Genomic DNA, 23,972 nt, shown 5'->3' with positions numbered 1-23,972 from the left:
GCCCAAAGGGCTTCACATTTAGACCTCTGATGTTATTTTCAAATAAATTATTCACTTAGTTACCCTTGGACAGAATTGAAATGAGTTGTTTATCCCCAGGACCACACTTTGTATTGTATACTATGAAATGACCTTAAAAAATAAATTCTGTAAATATGTTATGAACTGCATTTTTGTCACTAATTTGTTTAATATAAACTCTTTATGTATGATCATTTTTGTAACTTGCTTTAGAATTTCTTCATTTTATAATAAACCTCAAGGAGGTAAGTGACCAGCTCTTGCTTGACTTCTGAGAGCCCCTCCTTTTCCCTTCAGATGAAGAAGATGAAGAGGGAGGGGGAATGGATGGAAGGGACAGGCAGTGAATGCTTGAGGTGGAGAGCTGTTAGCATAAGGTGACCTTGAACTCCCACAGAAGTGAACTTCCACAGAGTGAACTCTCACAGAAGTGTTCATCACAGCTGCATCTGAAATCGGAAGTGGGTTGAGGGGTTGTGATGCTGGATATGTGAGGCAGCTGCCATAGTATTATTACCTCCAAGGCTTGGAGAGGTTAAGCAGCTTGTCCAAGATCACACAGTAAGTAAGTGATAGAGCAATATTGTGTAGAAATTTTTATATTTTTACTGAGGGTCAAAAACTTTGGATCTAGGTCACTATGTGACCCCTACAAGTCATTTAAGCTCTGCAGATCTGTGTCTTTATTTGTAAAAGATGACGTTGGAATCCACAGGGTCCTTATGCATGATATGAGTTCATTTTAATGTTAAAAGTAGTAGAATGTAGAAAACTGAATAAGCAGGGAAGATACTTGTTTCTTACTTGAATAAAAAGAACATTTTCTCTTCTAGCAGAGTCCAAATGATTTTCTATTTTAAATAGAGAAAGTAGATCTTATCAAGTATTTATAGAAACTGCAGATTGTTCGGACACAATCCAATACCTCATTTGATACTGGCAAGAGGCAAATGACGCCTCAAGCCTTCACAAATGCTTAAGCCAATTTTATGAACAAAGGAATATCTGGAAGTGGCTCAAGTTTAAAGAAAGCCATATATTTCTTGAGTGACATAACTTTAGGAGCTACTTGAGAAAAGTGATATGTTTTTCTAAAATCTTCATAATTAAGGTCTGAAGCATACATCCATCTAAATGTAAGTTCTTTTAGTCATCAGTGGTGTATCTTGTATTTATAATAACTACAAAGGGATGATAAATGGGCATCTGGGAATTGTTGATATTACTCCTTGGTGAGGGCCTATACCCATCATGGGGTCCCATGATCTTGTTCATTCCGATCTCTTTAGTTTGAAAAATTTTAGGCACCAGAAAAATGAAAAAAATTGTGCAGTGAATATTTGTATACCGTCCACCTATATTGAACAGTTGTTAACATTTTGCCATATTTGCTTTATCCCTTTCTACATCTAATATTTGGTGGAACCATTTGAAAGTAGGTTGCGGCTATCATAAATCACTCCTATGTGTACCAGCATGATCACTTTAAAAATAAGAATGTTCTGTACATACACAATATTGTTATCTAAAATGACAATAGTTCTATAATATTTAATATCCAATCCATATTCAGTTTTCCCCAATTGTCTCAAAAAGGTAATATATATACTTATTTTTAAAATCGGGATTAATAAGCATTCACACATTGCATTTGGTTGTTATGGATATTTAGTGTCTCTTAATCTAGAATATTTATCGACTTTTTTTACATTGATTTTTAAAGAATCCCAGCCAGTTGTCACGTGAAATGTCCCAAATTCTAGATTTTTCTGCTGGCTTCTTCATGGTATTATTGAACTTGCACTGCTGTTTCCTTCTCTATACATCAGAAGTTAGGTCTAGAAGCTTGATTAGATTTAGGTTAAATCTGTCTGGCAAGAATATTTCATACATATTGTATACTTCTTATTGCATTGTATAATAAGACATGCAAGGTCCGGTTGTCCTACTATTAGAAACTCAGATTTGGTCACTTGGTAAAGTTGGTGACTACTAGATTGCTCCGTTATAAGAGCACATTTACCCCTTTGCAATTCACAAGTAATCTGTGGAGACAGACTTTTCACTCAATGGTTTTAGCATTCGTTAGAGATCCTTACCTATGACAACTTTTACAGTAGGGATAGCAATGTGGTAGTTTTCTGAAATTCCATTATTTCTTTTACATTTATTATGAAGTAAGAGCTTTATTTCTTTTTCCTTCTTCTCCTTTGCCGATCTTTCTTGAGTTTCATTATGAATTCATGGATGTTTGTTTATTCAGAGTATTATAACCATCATAGATATATTTTTTGCTGCTCACATTTGTTTCAAAGGCCAGTAGATGCTCCTGCAAGCTGGGTTCTGGGTCCTTTCAACATGACTCTGTTAGTCTTTGAGCACTGTTTTGTTTTTTGACATAACAAGATGTCCTTGGCTTATCTTGCACATTTCCTAAAATCAGCTGTTTTTTTCCAGGGAACCCCATTATATATATTAGTGGAGAATTAGAAACCAAGATCTGGGGACTAGATGTCTTGTTCCTTCAGGACTGTTATTGCTCTTTGACTCTTTTTGGTGGACAGAGGTAAGATTTTTTTAAAAAGAGTAATGAATTCATAGTGTTTGTAATTAAAATTATGGCATTTTTATTTATTTCTTTTATTATCATGTATTGTCTTAATGTTGAAAATCTCGGTTTCTAATAACATTAATACACACTTATTTTCTTTACCTAAAATGTATTTAAAACAGTTTTAAAATTACAATTCCAGTATTTCTACTAGCAATAATAAACCTACTGATTGCATTTATATGTTATTCAAAGTAACTATTTCCTCTGGGTGGATATTTTATCAAACTGAAATATAATTTGGATCATTTGTTTCTACTTGTATTTTGTTTAAGGGAGTGCATTTTTCTTTTTTAATTTTATTTTTTTGAATATGTAAAACATTTACATGTTTCAAAAGTAAAAACCGTATAAAAATATAGTCAGAAATATTCTCATTTCTATCTCTTCCAAACTTACCCTTATTTTTGTTAGTTTCTTTTCGTAAAAATGAGATATATATTGTATTTATATAACATTAATATATGTATATATACATATATGTAAACATATGCACATGTGTTTTTATATACTTTTAATTTATTTCTTATATAAAACATGGCACAGAGTGAGGAGAGGGTCATGTTCTCCACTTTTACCCAGAACTCAGCCATACTTGTTTCTTGAGGACTGGAAGGTTTGGACGTATGGAGCATCAATCAGCCAATGTGAACGAATAGTGGTTTTCTTCTGGGGTGGCTTCACAGGAGCTGATGTGGACAAGGGGTGGGGTCAAAGCAGGGTGGACCAAAATGGCTCAGGGCCTGCAGTGCCAAACTTGACTGGTTATCTTGAGGAGGGCTGTTATCTGGCTCTCAGACCTGGAGTTTAATCTCTGCAAAGATAGAAATTATGTTTACCTTTCTATCCCCAGCTCTTAGCACAGTTTATCTTTTGAATGAATAACAGAATAAAAGGAGGCATATGCTATAATTTTTGTGGTATAAAAAGAATGTAATTTTATTTTATGATCTATAAGCTAGTGAGGCCCAGGACATTTGGGATACAATGGTCTTAGATAGGGTTCTCTAGGAGCTGACTCAGGGGCAGGGTTTGTGTGCAAGTAATTTATTGTACAAGTTCTCCCAGGGGACACTGGCAGGGAAGTGGGGAAAGAAGGACAGGGAAGGATGGGAACCAATTAAGGATATGATTTCGGCCGGGCACGGTGGCTCACGCCTGTAATCCCAGCACTTTGGGAGGCCGAGGCGGGTGGATCATGAGGTCAGGAGATCGAGAGCATCCTGGCTAACAAGGTGAAACCCCGTCTCTACTAAAAATACAAAAAATTAGCCGGGCGCGGTGGCGGGCGCCTGTAGTCCCAGCTACTCGGGAGGCTGAGGCAGGAGAATGGCGTGAACCCGGGAAGCGGAGCTTGCAGTGAGCCGAGATTGCGCCACTGCAGTCCGCAGTCCGGCCTGGGCGACAGAGCGAGACTCCGTCTCAAAAAAAAAAAAAAAAAAAAAAAAAAAAAAGGATATGATTTCATGCAAAGTCCCACAGGGGGAAGCTTCGACTTGATCTTGTTGGGAACCATAGAAGTTAAGTTAATTCTGGTGATGTGACTGTCACTAGCTCTTACTCTTACTCCCAGACAAGGGAGCTGGAACTTCATACTCTACATTTGTCACTAATTGGTCAAGGGCTGCTTCAGAGGAAAGTAAATTTGCAGGCACTTCTGACTGTATTTGAGTACAGGTAAGTGTCTAATATTGTCTGCTACAAATTATAGCTCTAGTTTAAAATGGAGTCATTTTCCTAAGCAACATTTTATAAAAAGAGCCATAAACATTGAATTTAACTAACTAAAAATGATAGCTCTATATTTAGTAAACCTTTCTAAAGCGTGTTTAAACCACATGTCCAAGTAACCACATAAATGTGTCTTTCAGAGGATGCCTGTCATTGTGTGCCATACAAAGTTCTTTCTAATTCCTGCTTTATTTCTTCTGTAATAAATCAGCGTTCACCTTCATTAAGGTCATGGTATTCATAAGACGTTCTCTCTGAGGAGAATTTTATTTTGCAGGGGAATTAGGACAACTTAGTAGGTTTTGAAAAACAGAGATTTCTGTTTGGTTGTCCTATTCTCATTGCTGATTTCCCTGCAGAAAAGAGGCAGCTAAGATTGCTCACTGGCTCTTCAGATTGCCTTGGAAACAGCCTTTCCGTTTCCTTGAGCTTCCATCCCATTAGCAGTGGCAGCTTCACCTTTTTCCTAGACGTGACACAAACAGATCCACCTTCAAACTGCATGAGTCGTTGGACTTGCATTGGCTTTTCTTGTTCTTTGCTCCCACCACATACCGTCGCTTTCCAGCATCAAATGGACATCAAATTCAAGGCAAATTTAGCCCATAGGTCTCTGAATCAAAACCTTTCCTCTCAGCCACAAATTCTGTATTTGCCGATAACAGAGGATCACAATCTCTTCCTTAAAGGACTAAAATGTGTTAAGTGTTCAATCAGTTTCCCCCTGCAAAACAACGTAACAGAGCTCACCTCTCCCATTGAAACTTGTTCTTTGAAATAGTCCTCTTGGGAGGCCATTTATTTATTCCAAATAATTTAGAAACTCACCCTTTGGACTCATATAAAATGTCATAGGTAGGGTTTTCTGGAAGCAGATGCTTCCAGCAGAGTTTGGGGTAACAGATGAATTATTAGGGCTCAACACCTATGAAGGGAAGAGGAAGCAGGATTGGGCAGAAGGAGAGGTTAAACTGTGATGCCAGCCTGACAAAGCTTCGGCCAACCCGGGGCAGGCAGCTGTGGGCAAGTATTGCTTGTTAGGGTGCCTTGCTTTGGACCAAATGGCTGTGCCTGTATAGCCTCCTTGCCTAGTCACTGGAAGCTGGCTGTCCTGGAATGGCATGACCTCGGGTGAGACAGCTCCCTACAGCTAAACTAGACCCTGAAGCAGCTGACAGCTGGAAGCTGTCTTGCTGATCACAGTCTCCATGCTGGACACCAAGTCCTTCCATGAAGGGGGATTTGAGTTAGGGGACATATGTTCATGCCTAGCACATAGAACCAGTTATAAATTCAATGAAAAACTCGACCTTACTACAATACTGTTAGGTAGCATACTCGGTTTTACAGAATGTTAGAATTGAGAGGCTTATAGAGATTTTCTGGCCTAACCCTCACCTGACCCTCATCTTTTACAGCTGCCTGACTTTTCCCTCAGGACCACTGCACTGAAAGCTAGAAGGTGGCATGACGCCTTCCTGTATCCCACTCTCCTCAGCTCTCCACCATCCTCTCCTCACCTGTAAGGGGCCCAAGTTGCTTCACAGGCTCACAGGTATTTTTCTGATTTAGAGTGGTATTAGAAAGGACAAGAACTTAAGAGAAACTGAGAAGGAAATTAAAAGTTGGGAGGAAAAGACTTCCCTGGGGTTTTAACCATGATGTGTGAGTATTATCCATAAAAGCCTAGATCACCCCCCAAAAGCTGACTAGTAAATGGAGGACTACAAAGGCTTCATCAAAAGGTCTTCTGCCTTTCTACCTGTTGAATCACTTGCAAAAATTATGTAGAGATTTGATTGTGAACCTAAGAAAAAAAAGTCTTAAAGGGCCTCCTTGACTGGTATTAATGGCCAGATCTATGACCAGATGACCTCCAACCTCCATTCTCTCAATGGAGAATCTGTGTGACAATTCCTTCATTCATCCTTTGAGTGTTTTATTGAGTGCCTACTATGTGCTAGGCCCCATGCCAAGCTCAGGGGAGAGAGTGTAGAGCTGTAATAAGGCACAAAGTTGTTCACAGCCAAAGTCGTCTGAGGACTTCAACCAGTGCTCCCAGCTGTTTCACTCTGATTTTGACATGTCTTTCTAGGTTGTGCTAAAACTATTAATTTACATGAAGGTGTTCTAAAGCTGTGGCAGTTTTATTTTCCTTTTTAAGCATTCCACTTGTGCTCCAACATCAGTGTAAGTAAAGCAGAGGGCTGGCTTTCATTGTTGGTTTTCCTCCCTCTTTTTTCCCCCTGTTTCTGCTTCTCTCTCCTTCCTTTGCTATTGGGGCTCACAAGCCAGGGTTCTTAGGAACGACTGTAGTGCGGGCCCTCTGGAGAGGGTAAGGGATAGGGAAAGGAAAAAGAGAATTGAAGGAAGCCTTGGGGCTCCCATCAGGAACCTGGTGAACTGATGAAGTCCACTAAGTCCATTCATAGTAATAGCTAACATTTGTTTAACACCAACCTTGTGCTCATCACATAGATTAACTCTCAGGACAGCTTACTGTTGGAAGGGACAGTTAAGGAGGAGTTTATGCTGACTCAGGCTGAGGGTGAGCCTGGGGGAGGGAGAGAAATTTAACCAAAATTTGGTTAATAGATGTTTTGTTTCTATTGCTCAGAGGGAAAAAAACAGTTCAGCTAATCATGTGTAAGACAAAATTTGGATATTTGGAGTATCTGTGTCTGGCTAAGGCACATGGGGAAGCATGTTTCTCTTTAGAAGAGAACACAAAAGAGTGGGGAGATGTCTTTAATCACCCCTGTTTTCCAGGAGCACAGGGCTCAGGTAAAATTCAACACTACAGTTTCTACAGTAGTAGAAATGGGAACCACTTTATATAATAATATTATTTACTGTAACTAACAAATCCTCAAATAGTTCAAACACATTTGAAGTTGATTTCTCACTTATTCGAAGTCCAGCATGGGTATCCCTGATTGATTGGTGGTTCTCCTTCAAATATTGATTCAGAAAGTCAGGATCCTTGTATTCTGTGGTTCCATCATTTTCAGCATGAGCTTGCTAAGGTCTTCTTGCTTATGTGCATCAAATTGGTGAAAGGGGTAATAGCATGGAGGATCAGGTGTTCATGGGTCAGGGCTGGAAATGGCACCCATCATTTCTATTCACATTTTATTGGCTAGGACATGGTTACCGGGCCACACCAAAGCGTGAGGGAAGCTGGGAAATAAGGCCCAGCTGTGTGCTGAGGAAAAAGAAATGAGTTTGGTGAACAGGCGGCCAATTCCTCATACAACCTCAATGTCTATCATTTATATTGCAAAATTAATGGTTAAATAAATAATAGGTCAATATGCAGCTTTTAAAAAAGAGACAAAGTTTTGTGTACTGATATAGAATAAATTCTAAAATGCTTTAAATATGAAAAATTAGTGCCGAAGAGTTTTATAGCAAGTTAGGATATGTTCTCCCCCCGCCACAAACCAGAAAAAACCCTAAAAAAAAGATTCACAAGCATCCTATGTATAGGATACCTCTGGAAGAATTCACAAGAAACTTGCATCAGTGATTGCCTTTTCACTTATTAAGGATTAAGTATTTGTTCTTCTGACCCATGGACACAGAGAGGGGAACAAAGCACACTGGAGCCTGTCAGTGGGGGGCGGAGAAGGAGAGGAGGAGAGCATTAGGACAAGTAGCTAATGCATGTGGGGCTTAAAACCTAGATGATGTGCTGGTATAAAGACACATGCACACGTATGTTTATTGTGGCACTATTCACAATAGGAAAGACTTGGAACCAACCTAAATGTCCAACAACGATAGACTGGATTAAGAAAGCGTGGCACATATACACCATGGAATACTATGCAGCCATAAAAAATGATGAGTTCATGTCCTTTGTAGGGACATGAATGAAACTGGAAACCATCATTCTCAGCAAACTATCACAAGGACAAAAAACCAAACACCACATATTCTCACTCATAGGTGGGAATTGAACAATGAGAACACATGGACACAGGAAGGGGAACATCACACACCGGGGACTGTTGTGGGGTGGGGGAAGGGGGGAGGGATAGCATTAGGAGATATGCCTAATGCTCAATGACGAGTTAATGGGTGCAGCACACCAACATGGCACATGTATACATATGTAACAAACCTGCACATTGTGCACATGTACCCTAAAACTTAAACTGTAATAATAATAAAATTAAAAAAAGAATTAAAACCATTATAGTATTAAACAGTTAAACATTAAAAAAAAAACCTAGATAATGGGTTGATAGGTGCAGCAAACCACCATGGCACGTGTATACCTATGTCACAAACCTGCACATTCTGCACATGCATCCTGTAACTTAAAGTAAAATAAATAAAAATGAAAAAAGAAAGTATTAGTTCTTCTGAAATTGTTCCATTTTCTCCTGAGAATTACTAGGCATAGTTTCCATTATGGGTTTTTCTTTTTATCTCTATGACTCAGCTCTCATAGCTTTGCATTAATTCCTAGGTTTTCTTCTGATACCCTCTTGGTTTTTAGTAGCAAATGCTTTTAATCGGGTTGTGAAGTCTTTTGCTAAATGTTCTTTATAGTCTTTGTGAGAGATCTCTAGTAAGCAGTATTGAAATGATGGACCTGTCCAGAAACAAAATCTGGGTACTGAAATCCCATTCTTTGGCATTAAATAGACTCTTACTGGCTAGCCAGCTTAAATAGCCCCCAAAGCACTCCTCACTCAGTTACCTTGTTTGATTTTCATTGTAATACTTACTGCTAAAAAAATGTGTTTGGTAATTATCCATCTCCCCCAGAAGAGTGTAAGATACATGTTTAAGTGGACCTGCTCTGTCCATTCTAATGGTGTCATGTGCTTAGGAGAATGTCATGCATCTGATGGTAGCTCAATAAGAGTTTACAGCATGTGTGTATGAATCTCCTTAGCTTGTTGCTTACTTTATATTTATCTTTCTTTCTAAGCTCACACTCATATTGCATTCTAAATTATCCAGTTTGCTATCCAGGATTTCAAAGCCCTTTGTCCAGAGCTTTATCATGGCAACGACCACATTTTACTGCAATTGTTAGTTTACATATTTGTCTCTCGAATGTGAGCTTCTCAAGGGTCAGTCATTGTATCTCCAGTTCTTGGTACACAATAGATAAATGAAAGCCCTGAGGAAATGTTCTGGATTTCTTAAAATTATAAGAAATAATGACTTTGAAGAATCTCCATGCTTCTAATGGTTTGCATGAGAATCTTTATTGCCTGTTGATTTGTTATTTGGTGTTAAAGGAGTGTATTAGTCTGTTCTCACACTGCTAATAAAAACATACCCAAGACTGGGTAATTTATAAGGGAAAGAGGTTTAATGGAATCACAGTTCCACATGGCTGGGGAGACCTCACAATCATGACTGAAGGTGAATGAGGAGCAAAGGCACATCTTACATGGCAGCAGGCAACAGAGCGGGTGCAGGGGAACTCCCCTTTATATAACCATTAGATCTCGTGAGACTTATTCACTATCACAAGAACAGCATGGGAAAGATCTGCCCTCATGATTCAGTTACCTCCCACTGGGTCCCTCCCACGACATGTGGGAATTATGGGAGCTACAATTCAAGATGAGATTTGGGTGGAGACACAGCCAAACAAAATCATTTTGCCCCTGGCCCCTCCCAAATCTCATGTCCTCCCATTTCAAAACCAATCATGCCTTCCCAACAGTCCCCCAAAGTCTTAACTCATTTCAGCATTAACTCAAAACTTGACAGTCCAAAGTCTCATCTGAGACAAGGCAAGTTCCTTCTGCCTATGAGCCTGTAAAACCAAAAGCAAGTTGGTTACTTCCTAGATACAATGGGGGTACAGGCATTGGGCAAATACACTCATTCCACATGAGAGAAATTGGCCCAAACAAAGGGACCACAGACCCCATGCATCCAATAGGGCAGTCATTAAACCTTAAAGTTCCAAAATAATCTTCTTTGACTCCATGTCTCAAGTCTTGCTGATGCAAGAGGTGGGCTCCCATGGCCTTGGGCAGCTCTACCTCTGTGGCTTTGCAGGGTACAGACATCCTGGCGGCTTTCACAGGCTGGTGTTGGGTGTCTGTGGCTTTTGCAGGCACGTGGTTCAAGCTGTCAGTGGATCTAACATTCTGGGGTCTGTAGGACGGTGGCCCTCTTCTCACAGTTCCACTAGGCAGTGCCCCAGTGGAAGCTCTGTGTGGGGACTACAACCCTACATTTCCCTTCTGCACTGCCTTAGCAGAGGTTCTCCAAGAGGAGGAGTAAAAAAGGTACTTTTGAAGAATACAGAGATAGTTAAATACAGATTATGATAAGAAAACAAACTAGAGAGGGAAAAAAAGCTTCAGGAAACCAAGAAAGTGGAATTAAAAGTGAAGAAGCTTGTTGTTGAATCAAGATGAGGGAGTTCTAGTACATAATTTGAATCTAAGGAGGACACAGACAATAGCTGTTTAGTGGAAAAACTTTGGAATAGGCCACAAAAATTCCAGTGATGTAAATGCATTGTGAGAGTGTGTTGAATCCTTTGTGCCCTCAGCATAGCAACATGTGAAAACAAGGTGAATTCAATTCTTCAGGAGAAATGTGAGATAGTTATTCAATATGTAACTCAAGAGGAATGCGTTTTGATAAAAAACCAGAGGGGTACTACTCATAGGGAAAAAAGACGTTTTTGGTCTTTAGTCTGATCTCAGCTCTTTGGTCTAGCTGCGGAGGTCAACTAATAAAAAATCCAATATGTGTTTGGAGAAAAATTCTGGATTTCTTTAAGCAGTGCTAAGCTGCTTTTGTGGGGGTTGAGGTTGTTTCCAAAAAATTTCATTGATTCAGCAGAATAAAGTATAATTTTAATGATTATTTTCTAGACTTGCAGCATTCCTGAGAATTGTAAAACATCAGTTAATTTTTTAACTGCAATAACATTTTAATTTTACTCAATTAGGTAAGACAACAGAAGATGAAGTCAATTTTGAAAACCTTTTATAAACTATAAAAACTGTGCTTATGCTAGTAGCTATTACTATAATTATGATTACCATTGTTCTGCTGGTAAACTTGAGGAAGGCAATAGGGAGTTAGGAGAAACAGACCTTCTCTTTCAGTTGAGTTAAACAGACTTGTTTCAACCTCATGTCTGACTAGAGAACATGGTTGGTTCCTGAACTGGTGGAGACTGACCCTGAGATCAACCCCTGAAACGATTCCTGCAGAGCCTCTGGACTGTAAGCTGTCACATCATGGATGACAGCCAGGATATTGGGTCTATTTCAAAGTGACTCAGTGGGCCAGAGAACCATTAATATATTTATCACCACAGGTATTAGTTATATGTCACTACTGAGAAACTGCAGAGTGTTATTGTTTATTCTTTTGTTTAATCAAATGTCTTTTAAAATTTTATTTGTACTCATGTGTTTGTTTTCTTCATAGGTAGACACTATTGTTTCTGAAAATCTTCCAAATTTTACAGAGTTTGTAAACTAGGTAATAAAAATGAAATCCAATTAGAAAATAGGTGAAAGATATAGAGAGACATTTCACCAAAAAGAATATGCAGTTGGCAAATAAGCATGTGGGAGGATGTTCAACATCATTAGCCATTGGGGAAATACAAATTAAAACTACAATGAGATATCATTACACGGCTATCAGAATAGCTGATATAAAAAACAGTGTCTACGTGGAGGGGAACAACACACACCAGGGCCCGTCAGGAGTGAGGGGAGGGAGAGCATTGGGACAAATAGCTAATGCATTCGGGGCTTAAAACCTAGGTGATGGGTTGATAGGTGCAGCAAACCACCCATGGCATATATATACCTATGTGACAAACCTGCACGTTCTGCACATGTATTCCGGAACTTAAAATTAAAAAAAAAATGTCAACACCAAAATGCTAGAGAAGATGTGTAGAAACTGGATCACTTATTATTGGTAGGAACGTAAAATGGTGCAAAACACTTAATTTAGAGTCACGTAAAAATTTGTATATGAATGTTTATAGCAACAATTGATTAAAACTTGTTTTTAAATTTTCATTTGTGGTAAAGTTCATACAGCATAAAATTTATGATCTTAACCATTTTTTGGTGTGTAGTTCAGTAGTGTTAAGTATAGCCATATTGTTGAGCAACAATCTTTATGGGTTTCATCCTACAAAACTGAAACTCTATCAAACAACAATTCCCTATTTCCCCCTCTTCTCCAACCCCTGGCAAACTCCATTCTTGTTGTTTACATGAATTTCACTACTTTGGATACTTCATATAGTGAAATTATACAGTATTTGTCTTTTTATCCCGGGCTTACTTCACTTAGCACAGTGTTCTCAAGGTTCAGACACGTTGTAGCATTTGTCAGTTTCTTTCCTTTTTAAGGATAATCTTTCGTTGTATGTACATAACACATTTTGTTTATCCGTTCATCTGTTGATGCACACTTGGGTTGCTTCCACCTCTTGGCTGTTGTCAACAATGCTGCCAAGAACGTGGGTATACAAATATCTCTTCCAGTCTTAGAGGTGAAATTGCTAGGTCATATGGTCATTCTATTTATGATTTTTTGAGGAACTGCCATACTGTTTTCCATAGCAGCTGCACCATTTTACATTTCTGCCAACAATGCACAAGGGTTCCAGTTTCTCCACATCCTTATTATTAATATAAGTAAAAAATACTTATTATTTTTTGTTCTTTTGTTAGTGGCCATTTAATGGGTGTGAGGTGGTATCTCTTTGTGGTTTTGACTTGCATTAACCTAATGATTCGTGATGTTGAGCATCTTTTCATGGGCTTTTTGGCCCTTTGTATATCATCTTTGGAGAAATGTCTATTTAAGACCTTTGCTCATTTTAAAATTGGGTTGATTTTATTGTTATTGAATTGTAAGAGTGCTGTATATATTCTGGATATTAACCTTTTATCAGATATATTATTTGCAAATATTTTGTTTTATTTTGTAGCTTACCTTTTTGCTCTATTATGTTCCTTGATGCATAGAAATCTTAAATTTTGGTGTAGTCCAGTTTATCTACTTTTACTTTTGTTGTCTGTGGTTTTGGTAACATATTTAAGAAAACTTCACCAAATCCAATGACATGAGTTTCCCCTTCTGTTTGTTTTCTTTCTAAGAGTTTTATAGTTTTAGCTCTTACATTTAGGTCTTTGATCCATTTAGAGTTAACTTTTTATATGTGGTGTAAGGTAAGAATTCAACTTCACTTTTTTTTTTTTTTGCATGTGGCTATCTAGTTTTCCTAACATCATTTGTTGAAGAGGCTGTCTTTTCCCAGTGAATGGTCATTTTGAGATATTCCTGGTTCATTGAGAAATGATTTTTGCTTGAAACCTAGATACTTTCACAAGATTCTGGATCTTATTAAAACTTTCTGTTGTGACTAGCTTCTCAGATGCTGCTCCAGCAGGGGAAGGGGAGGGCAAAAACTTGTTGCTATCAGGTGCAGGTAAAATTTCTAACCCACCTGGCCTCTGTTGACACCCAAGGTAGGGGACTTTTTGTAACTGCTGGACGGGAGTGAGAGTTCTAGCTCTCCATGTGGTCTGCACTGACACCTTCGTGAGGGTGATCTCATTACTGGTGGGTGTTGGCGAAAGTCTTGATTCTCTGCCAGGCCTCCTCTGACACCTCCCCACCAGGAAGGGAAGTATGTTTCCTTGCTGCTGAGTGAGTTGGAAGTCCAGGCTCCTCATATGATTTCCACCAATATTGCGGGGAGGCCTCATTACCAGCTGTCAGGAAAGATAGTCTCAGCTCCCTCGCTGGATACCACTCTGTCAGAGATGTTGGGACACCTTATTACAGCCTTGTGAGGTTAGAAGTCTAGGCTGCCTACTTGGCCTGTGCTAGCAGGGTGGGGTAGGACCATAGCTTTTATTTTTAATTTTTTTTTAAATTTTCCATAAGTTTTTGGGGTACAGGTGGTATTCGGTTACATGGGTAAGTTCTTTAGTGGTGATTGTGAGATTTTGGTGCAGCCATCACCTGAGCAGTATACACTGTACCATATTTGTAGTCTTTTATTCCTCACCCCCTCCCACTCTTCCCCTCAAGTCTCCCAAAGTCCATTGTATCATTCTTATGCCTTTGCGTCCTCATAGCTTACCTCCCACATATCGGTGAGAACATACGATGTTTGGTTTTCCATTCCTGAGTTACTTGACATAGAATAATAGTCTCTAATCTCATCCAGGTCACTGCAAATGCTGTTAATTCATTCCTTTTTATGGCTGTGATGTATATACATATATATATATAACAGTTTCTTTACCCACTTGTTGATTGATGGGCATTTGGGTTGGTTCCACAATTTTGCAATTGTGAATTGTGCTGCTATAAACATGCAAGTACAAATATCTTTTTTGAATAATGACTTCTTTTCCTCTGAGTAGATACCCAGTAGTGGGATTGCTGTATCAAACGGTAGTTCTACTTTTAGTTCTTTGAGGAATCTCCACACTGTTTTCCAGAGTGGCTGTACTAGTTTACATTCCCACCAGCAGTGTAGAGGTGTTCCATGTTCACTGCATCCATGCCACATCTACCTTTTTGTGATTTTTTTGAGTATGGCCATTCTTGCAGGAGTAAGATGGTATCACATTGTGGTTTTGATTTGCATTTCCCTGATCATTAGTGATGTTGAGCATTTTTTCATATGTTTTTTGGCCATTTCTATATCTTCTTTATTTTATTTTATTATTATTATACTTTAAGTTTTAGGGTATATTGCACAATGTGCAGGTTAGTTACATATGTATACATGTGCCATGCTGGTGTGCTGCACCCATTAACTCGTCATTTAGCATTAGGTATATCTCCTAATACTATCCCTCCCCACTCCCCTCACCCCACAACAGTCCCCAGAGTGTGATGTTCCCCTTCCTGTGTCCATGTGTTCTCATTGTTCAATTCCCACCTATGAGTGAGAACATGCGGTGTTTGGTTTTTCGTCCTTGCGATAGTTTACTGAGAATGATGATTTCCAATTTCATCCATGTCCCTACAAAGGACAGGAACTCATCATTTCTTATGGCTGCATAGTATTCCATGGTGTATATGTGCCACATTTTCTTAATCCAGTCTATCATTGTTGGACATTTGAGTTGGTTCCAAGTCTTTGCTGTTGTGGATAGTGCCTCAATAAACATATTGTGTGCATGTGTCTTTATAGCAGCATGATTTATAGTCCTTTGGGTATATACCCAGTAATGGGATGCCTGGGTCAAATGGTATTTCTAGTTCTAGATCCCTGAGGAATCGCCACACTGACTTCCACAACGGTTGAACTAGTTTACAGTCCCGCCCTATATCTTCTTTTGATAATTGTCTATTCATGTCCTTAGCCTACTTTTTGATGGGATTGTTGGTTTTTTTCTTACTGATTTGTTTGAGTTTGTTGTAGATTCTGAGTATTAGTCCTTTGTCAGATGTATAGATTGTAAAAATTTTCTCCCATTCTGTGAGTTGTCTGTTTACTCTGCTGACTGTTCCTTTTGCCAAGTAAAAGCTCTTTAGTTTAATTAGGTCCCAGCTATTAATCTTTTTTTTAATTGCATTTGCTTTTGGGTACTTGGTCATGAAATCCTTGCCTAAGCCAATGTCTAGAATGGTTTTTCCAATGTTATCTTCTGGAATTTTTATAGTTTCAGGTCTTAGGTTTAAGACCTTAATCCATCTCGAGTTGATTTTTGTATTAGGTTGAGAGATTAGGATCCAGATTCGTTCTCCTACATGTGGTTTGCCAATTATCCCAGCACCATTTGTTGAAAGGGTGTCCTTTCCCCATTTGATGTTTTTGTTTGCTTTGTTGAAGATCAGTTGCTGTAGGTATTTGGGTTTATTTCTGGGTTCTCTATTCTGTTCCATTGGTCTATGTGCCTATTTTTAAACCAGTACCATGCTGTTTTGATGATTATGGCCTTATAGTATAGTTTGAAATCAAGTAGTGCAATGCCTCCAGATTTCTTCTTTTTGCTTTGGCTATGGGGACTTTTTTTTGGTTCAATATGAATTTTAGAATTGTTTTTTCTAATTCTGTGAAGAATGATGTTGGTATTTTGGTGGAGATTGCATTGAATTTGTAGATTGTTTTTAGCAGTATTGCCCATCCATTAGCATGGGATGTGTTTCCATTTGTTTGTGTCATCTGTCATTTCTTTCAGCAGTGTTTTGTAGTTTTTCTTGTAGAGGTCTTTTGACTCTTTTGTTAGGTACATTCCTGTCTTTGATTTTTTTTTGCAGCTATTGTTAAAAGGGTTGAGATCTTGATTTAATTCTCTGCTTGGTCACTGTTGTTATGTAGAAGAGCTGATTGGTGTACATTAATCTTGTATCTGGAAAGTTTGCTGAATTCTTTTATCAGTTCTAGGAGCTTTCTGGAGGAGTCCTTAGGGTTTTCAAGGTAAACGATCACATTGTCAGCAAACAGCAACAGTTTGATTTCCTCTTTACCAATTTGAATGCCCTTTATTTGTTTCTCTTGTCTGATTGCTGTGGCTAGGACTTCCAGTACTACGATGAAGAGGAGTGAGGAGAGTGGGTATCTTTGTCTTGTTCCAGTTCTTAGAGGGAATGCTTTCAAGTTTTGCCCATTCAGTATTATGTTGGCTGTGGGTTTGTCCTAGATGGCTTTTATTACATTAGGGTATGTCCGTTGTATGCCGATTTTGCTGAGGGTTTTAATCATAAAGGGATGCTGGATTTTGTTGAATGCCTTTTCTACGTCTATTGAGGTGATCATATGATTTTTGTGTTTAATTTTGTTAATGTGGTGTATCACATTTATTGACTTGTGTGTGTTAAACCATCCCTGCATCCCTGATATGACACCCACTTGATCATGGTAGATTATCTTTTTGATATGTTGTTGGATTTGGTTAGCTAGATTTTGTTAAGGATTTTAGCATCTATGTTAATCAAGGATACTGGTCTGTAGTTTTCTTTTTTGGTTGTGTCCTTTCCTGGTTTTCGTATTAGGGTGATGCTGGCTTCATAGAATTAACTAGGGAGGGTTTCTTCTTTCTCTGTCATGTGGAATAGTGTCAAAAGGATTGGGACCAATTTTTCTATGAATGTCTGGTAGAATTCTGCTGTGAATCCATCTGGCCCTTAACTTTTTTGTTGTTGTTGTTGGTAATTTTTAAATTAGCATTTCAATCTCACTACTTGTTATTGGTCTATTCGGGGTATCTAATTCTTCCTGATTTGAGCTAGGAGGGCTGTATTTTTCCAGGAATTTATCCATCTCTTCTAGGTTTTCTAGTTTATGTGCGTAAAGGTGTTCATAGTAGCCTCGAATGATCTTTTGTATTTCAGTGGTGTCAGCTGTAATATTTAATCAATCTTGAGTTGATTTTTGTATTAGGTGAGAGATTAGGATCCAGTTTCATTTTCCTACATGTGGTTTGCCAGTTATCTCAGCACCATTGTGTTCTGTTTTGTTTCTTACTTTATTGGGATTTTCTCTCTGCTTTTCTTGGTTCATCTTGCTAATGGTCTATCAATTTTATGTATCTTTTCAAAGAACCAGCTTTTGTTTCATTTATGTTTTGTACTTTTTTTTTGTTTCAGTTTCATTTAGTTCTGCTCTGATGTTGGTTATTTCCTTTCTTCTGCTGTGTTTGGGTTTGGTTTCTTTTTGTTTCTCCAGTTCCTTGAGGTTTGACCTTAGATTGGCTGTTTATGCCCTTTCAGACTTTTTGATGTAGGTAGGCATTTAGGGCTATGAACTTTCCCCTTAGCAACTGCCTTTGCTGTATCCCAGAGGTTTTGATAGGTTGTGTCATTATTGTCATTCAGTTTGAAGAATTTTTAAATTTCCATCTCGATTTCATTTTTTACCCAATGCTCATTTAAGAGCAGGTTATTTATTTATTTTTCATGTATTTACATGGATTTGAAGGTTCCTTTTGGAGTTGATTTCCAGTTTTATTCTACTGTGATCTGAGAGAGTGCATGATATAATTTCAATTTTCTTAAATTTACTGAGGCTCATTTTTATGGCCTATCATATGGCCTGCCTTGGAGAAAGTTCCAGGAGCGTAGCTTTTTTTCCCCCTATGGTTGGAATAGAGCAATTATTGTCTAAAAGTTTTCTGTGTCACTAAACTGACTCCTGTTCCTTTGGCTACAGAGAGCAGGCTATTTTTGGAGTTTTTTTTCTTTTTCTTTTTCTTTTTTTTTTGGTCTGTACTCATTGACATTTCTGGGTGGCTAGATTCTTTAGCTCCAATTCTGGGATATATATGATCCAAAAAAACCCAGGGAATCCACCACTCTATCATTCCTTGCCTTCCAAGGTCCTTATCTTATCTATCTTCCCTAATTTTCGGTCTGCTTATACTTCTTTTTTATATAATATCCTTGGTATTTTGTTGTACTTAGTGCAAGGAATAGGAAAATGTGCATCTACTGCATCTTTTGGGAAGTGGAAGTGGCCACCTTCACTTTCTGATGGTAATAACTTTTTTTCACTGTATCCACTTAACTCCTAGCATAGTGACCAGAACTATATTTGTGAAATTATATTTTGTATTCTTTCAGATTGTGTTGGGCAATGGGGAATGGATAATACAGGGTAACTAGGCCCAAATAACACAAAAATTTCAGGAGGAGCATTCTGACTCCAAGGGCTAGTTGGCAGCAGCATCTCTAGATCCTGGACCTATAACATCTCATTATAGAACAGGAGCCACATGGTTTGAATAAGAGTTTGATGTGTAACAATGAAGGTAGTTATGAACTGGGATATTTGAAATAGGCTGTGTGGAAAACTGAGTGAATACAAGGCCTCTTCTTAGACAGCAGGCCCCAGGAGCCTGAGACATTTCAAGGGAAAAATAGCATACCCTCTAATCAGAATGGGAGAAAGCATGGAGATAGATTTTTCAAAGACAGACCAAAATTACATGGATAAAGGACAACACTTAGAGCACGTAAAGTTTTTTAAAAATGCCTGTCTGAGAGTATATTGAAGAAAGCATTCCTATAGCCAGGTACTCTCTAGGTCTAGTGGCATGAAGGTTTCTAATGATTACAGCTGTTACTTTTGGCATATCTCCACTCTACTGATTTCTAGACAAATAATTGGACTCTATTTTGAACCCTAACCTATGTCCTGAATGTTGTTTTTGGAACCATCTTTTTTGAGGTATTGCACATGTTTAAAGAATACCACTTGACAAGTTTTGACTATATATATATATATCCACCCATGAAAGCATTACCATAGTGAAGATATCATATACATCCATTACCCCCAACTATCTCCTTGTATCCCTTTAATTCCTTCCTCTTGTTTTTCCTCTCCACTTCCCCATACCCCCAACAAACATTGATCTGCTTTCTGTTACCATACACTAGTTTGCATTTTCCAGAATTTTATAAAAATGACACTACAGAGTGTGTATTCTTTTTTTTTTTGGCCTGGTTTCTTGTACTCAGCATAATTATTTTGAGATTTATCCATGTCGTTTTGTATAATAATAGTTTATCACTTTTTATTGCTGAGAGTATTCCATTTTATGGATATGCCACAAAATTATTATCCATTCATTTGTTGATTGACATTTGAGTTGTTTACAGTTTATGGCTTTTGTGAATATAGCTGCTATGAACAATCTCACACAAGTCTTTATATGGACATATGCTTTTATTTCTCTTGGGAAAAAACCTAAAAGTGGAATGAACAACTTTTATGGTAGGTGTATGTTTAACTTCTAAGGAAACTGTGTTTCTAAGTGGTTGTATCATTTGTTTTCCCATTAGTAGCGTATGAGAATTCCAGCTGCTCCATAACTTAGCCAACACTTGACACAATCAGTATTCTTAATTTTAGACATTCTAATAAATGTGTAATGGTATCTTGTAGTTTTAAATTTGCATTTCCTTAATGACTAATGATGTTGAACGTATTTTTATGTGCTTGTCATCCATATATATATTTTTATGAAGTGTTTGTTCAGATCTTTTGCCCATTTAAATAGATTTTTTTCTTACTATTGAGTTTTGGGTTTTGAAATACATTGTAGATACGAGTTCTTGATTAGATACAAAAAATTTGCAAGTATTGTTTTGAAAATATTTTCTTCAAGTCTTTGATGTGTCTTTTCATTCTCTTGAAAATATCTTCTGAAGAACAGAAACTCTTAATTTTTAGGTATTTCCGTTTGACTTCTTGTCTTTTTTTTGAGACAGGGTTTCACTCCTCTTGCTCAGGCTGGAGCGCAGTGGCGCAATTTCAGCTCACTGAAACCTCCGGCTCCTGGCTCAAGCGATCCTCCCACCTCAGCTTCCCAAGTAGCTGGGACTGCAGCCATGTGCCACCATGCCTGGCTCATTTTTCTCTTTTTTGTAGAGACAGGGTTTTGCCATGTTGCTCAGGCTGGTCTAGAACACCTGGGCTCAGTCCATCTGCTTGCCTTGGCCTCCCAAAGAGCTAGGATGACAGGCATGAGATATTGCACCGAGCCTATGATTTTTAAATAAATGTTTCTGTTGTATCATATCTGAGAATCATTGCCTAACTCAAGGTGTGGATCAAAGTTTATTATTATTAATTTTTTTTGCAAATAGCTATCCAGTTGTTATAGCACCATTTTTTGAAATGACCCCTTTTCCCATTGCATTGCCTTTGTGCGCTTGTGAAAAATTAGTCATCCATGTATGTGTGGGTCTATTTTTTAGACTCTCCATTCCGTTTCACTGGCCTTATTGTTAATCACACCACCAATACAATACTGACTTGGTAATTGTAGAATTATAGGTAATTCTATAATAAGTCTTGAAGGCAAGTAATGGAAGCCCTTCAGCTTTATTATTTTTCTACATTAGAAATTGACAGCTGATTCTAAAATTTTTATTAGAATGTACAGACTGAGCATAGGCAAAACAACTTTGAGAAAGAACCAAATTGGAGGACATCTTAATAATAATAGTTTTTTTGATCCTTGACCGCAGTATTTTTTTCTATTTGTTTTGGTCTTTAATTTTTCTCAGCTAGTTTTATAATTTTAGTGTACAGGTCTTATGCATGATTTGTCGCATTTGTCTTAAGTATTTCATATTTTTGATGCTATTTTAAATGGCATTGGTTTTTAATATTTCAACTTCTAATTTGTTGGTGATATATAGAAATGTAATGGATTTTTATATATTTACCTTGTACTCTTTAACCTTACAGGAATATTGGTCTGTAGTTTTCTTTCTTTCTTTTTTTTTTAGTATAGAATGTGTATGGCATTACCCTGGTATTAGGGTAATATCGCTAATCATTAAGGACATGTAGGCTGAAAAACTACCTATTGGTTACTATGCTTACTATCTGGTGCAATATACCCATGTAACAAACTTACACATGTACCCACTCTATCAAAAATAAAAGTTGAAATTCAGAAGGAAAAAAAATCAACTGGGAAGTTTTTCTTCCTATTCAGTTTACTGGAAGAGTCTGTATAGAATCGTTATCTTTTATTTATTAAACTTTTGGTAAAATTCACTAATGAAAAGATAAGAGGCTGGATTTTCTTTGTGAAATGTTTTAAACTTCAATTTCTTTATTATAGGACTATTCATGTTACATATTTCTTCTTGAGTGAGCTGTGGTAGTTTGTGACTTTCAAGGAATTTGTCCATTTAATTTTCATGGTCAAATTTATTGGCATAAATTTTAAAACTCCCCTATTATCCTTTTAATTATTGTAGAATTGGTAGTAGTTACCTCTTATATTTCTGCTCTTAGTAATTTCTATTTTCTCTCTTTGATCACTTTGGCTAGACGCCTGTTGTTTTATTGATTTTCTCAAAGCATCAACCTTGATTTCATTGACTTTTCTCTACTGTGTTTCTGCTTTGTATTTCACTGATTTCTGCTGTGCCTTTCTTTAAAAAATTTTATTTATAAACTTATAAATAAATTTAGGATATACAACATGATGTTATGAGACACATATAGATAGTACAAAAAGGTTACTATGGTGAAGCAAATAAAAATATCCATCATTTCACATAGTTACATTTTTAATTTTTGTGGCAAGAGCAGCTAAAAATCTGATCATTTAGCATGAATCCCAAATACAGTACACTTTTATTACCTATAGTTCTTATGTTGTACCTTAGATTTCTATCTTGTTTATCCTATATATCTGCTACTTTATATCCTCTGACCTGCATTTCTTCATTTAGCCCCATTGCCCCTCTTTCCCTCTCACCTCTGGCAATCACTGCTTTGTTCTCTATCTCCTTATATTTGAAAAAAGAATTTTAGGCTCCATATCTAAGTGACATCATGCAACATTTTTCTTTTTGTGTCTGGCTTATTTTACTTAGCATAGCATCCTCCAAGCTCATCTGTGGGGCAATATTTTGTTCTTTTATAGGGATATATATATAGATATATGGATATATATAGGATATATATATATGTGTGTGTGTGTATGTATGTGTGTGTATATATATTCGCATATATATATGAATAAAGAAATTGTGTATATATCTATTGAGAAACAGGTTGTTTCCATATCTTAGCTATTGTGAATAATGCTGCTGTAAACATGAGAGTGCAAATATCTTTACAAGGTGATTTCATTTTCTTTGGATATACCCAGAAGTTGGATTGCTGCATCATATGGTAGTTCTCTTTTCAGTTTCCTTAGGAAACCTCCATACTGTTTTCCGTCATAGCTGTACCAATCTACATTTCCACCAACAGTGTATAAGAGTTCCCTTTTCTTCATACATTTGCTAACGTTTGTTATGTTTTGTCTTTTTGGTAATAGCCATCCTAATGGGTGTGAGATGGCATCTCACAGTGATTTTGATTTCCATTTCTCTGATGATTAATGATATTGTCTGGTCTGATCTTTAGTATTTCATTTTTCTGCCTAATTAGAGTTTAATTCACTCTTTCCTTTCCAGTTTTTTAAGGTGAAAGCTGAAGTAATTGATTTAGATCTTCCTTCTTTTCTAACATTGGTATTTAGTGCTATAGAATTCCCAGTAGCTATTGCTTTATCTGCCTCCCACAGATTTTAATATGTTGTATTTTTATTTGTATTTAGTTAAAAATATTTTCTGATTTCACTTTTAATATTTATTTGACCTATGATGGGTTATTTAGAAGTGTGTTATTTAATTTCCAAATATATATGGATTTCCCAGATATTTTTCTTTTCTGTTTTTTGAGACAGGGTCTTACTTTGTCACCTAGGCTGCAGTAGAGTGGCATGATAATGGCTCACTGTAGCCTTCAACTGCTGGGTTCAAGCAGTCTTCCCACTGGAGCCTTCTGAGTATCTGGGACTACAGGTGAATGCTACCATGCCTGGCTATATTTTTTATTTTTATTTTTGTAGAAACAGGTCTTGTTAAGTTGCCCAGGCAGGTCAGGAACTCCTGGCCTCAAGCCGTTCACCCCCTCAGCCTCCCAAGGCGCTGTTATTACAGATGTGAGCCACTGTGCCTGGCCCAGATATTTTTCCGTTTTTGATTTTTAATTTAAGTTCACTGTGATTTCAGATAACATATATTCTATGACTTAAATGTTTTTAACTTTATCGGGCTTTGTTTTATGGTCCAACTTGTGGTTTATCTTGGT

At 37.4% G+C, this 23,972-nt stretch overlaps 1 long non-coding RNA gene across 1 annotated transcript in view, besides 1 other annotated feature; it reads right to left on the bottom strand.

Annotated features, from left to right (window-relative positions):
* Nucleotides 1-3,129: 3,129 nt before the first annotated feature.
* Nucleotides 3,130-23,972, bottom strand: part of LOC105370829 (uncharacterized) — a 35,427-nt gene continuing 14,584 nt past the window's right edge. Inside the window, exon 2 of the long non-coding RNA NR_135679.1 lies at nt 3,130-3,446. This is a non-coding gene — a long non-coding RNA (uncharacterized LOC105370829). The remainder of the gene's footprint in view (nt 3,447-23,972) is intronic.
* Nucleotides 23,124-23,293: an enhancer, noted in NCBI's record as "experimental_40151 CRE fragment used in MPRA reporter constructs". NCBI's record gives its function as "activates a minimal promoter by MPRAs in K562 erythroleukemia cells, with activity observed for the introgressed 15:55364293 variant allele {active_cell/tissue: K562}" and the evidence as "EXISTENCE:reporter gene assay evidence [ECO:0000049][PMID:34662402]".

This window comes from Homo sapiens, chromosome 15, assembly GCF_000001405.40.
Source record: "Homo sapiens chromosome 15, GRCh38.p14 Primary Assembly".
In the NCBI taxonomy this organism is placed as follows: Eukaryota; Metazoa; Chordata; class Mammalia; order Primates; family Hominidae; genus Homo; species Homo sapiens.
The sequence above is the reverse complement of the archived record's forward strand: the minus strand, read 5'-3'. Positions and strand labels throughout refer to the sequence as shown.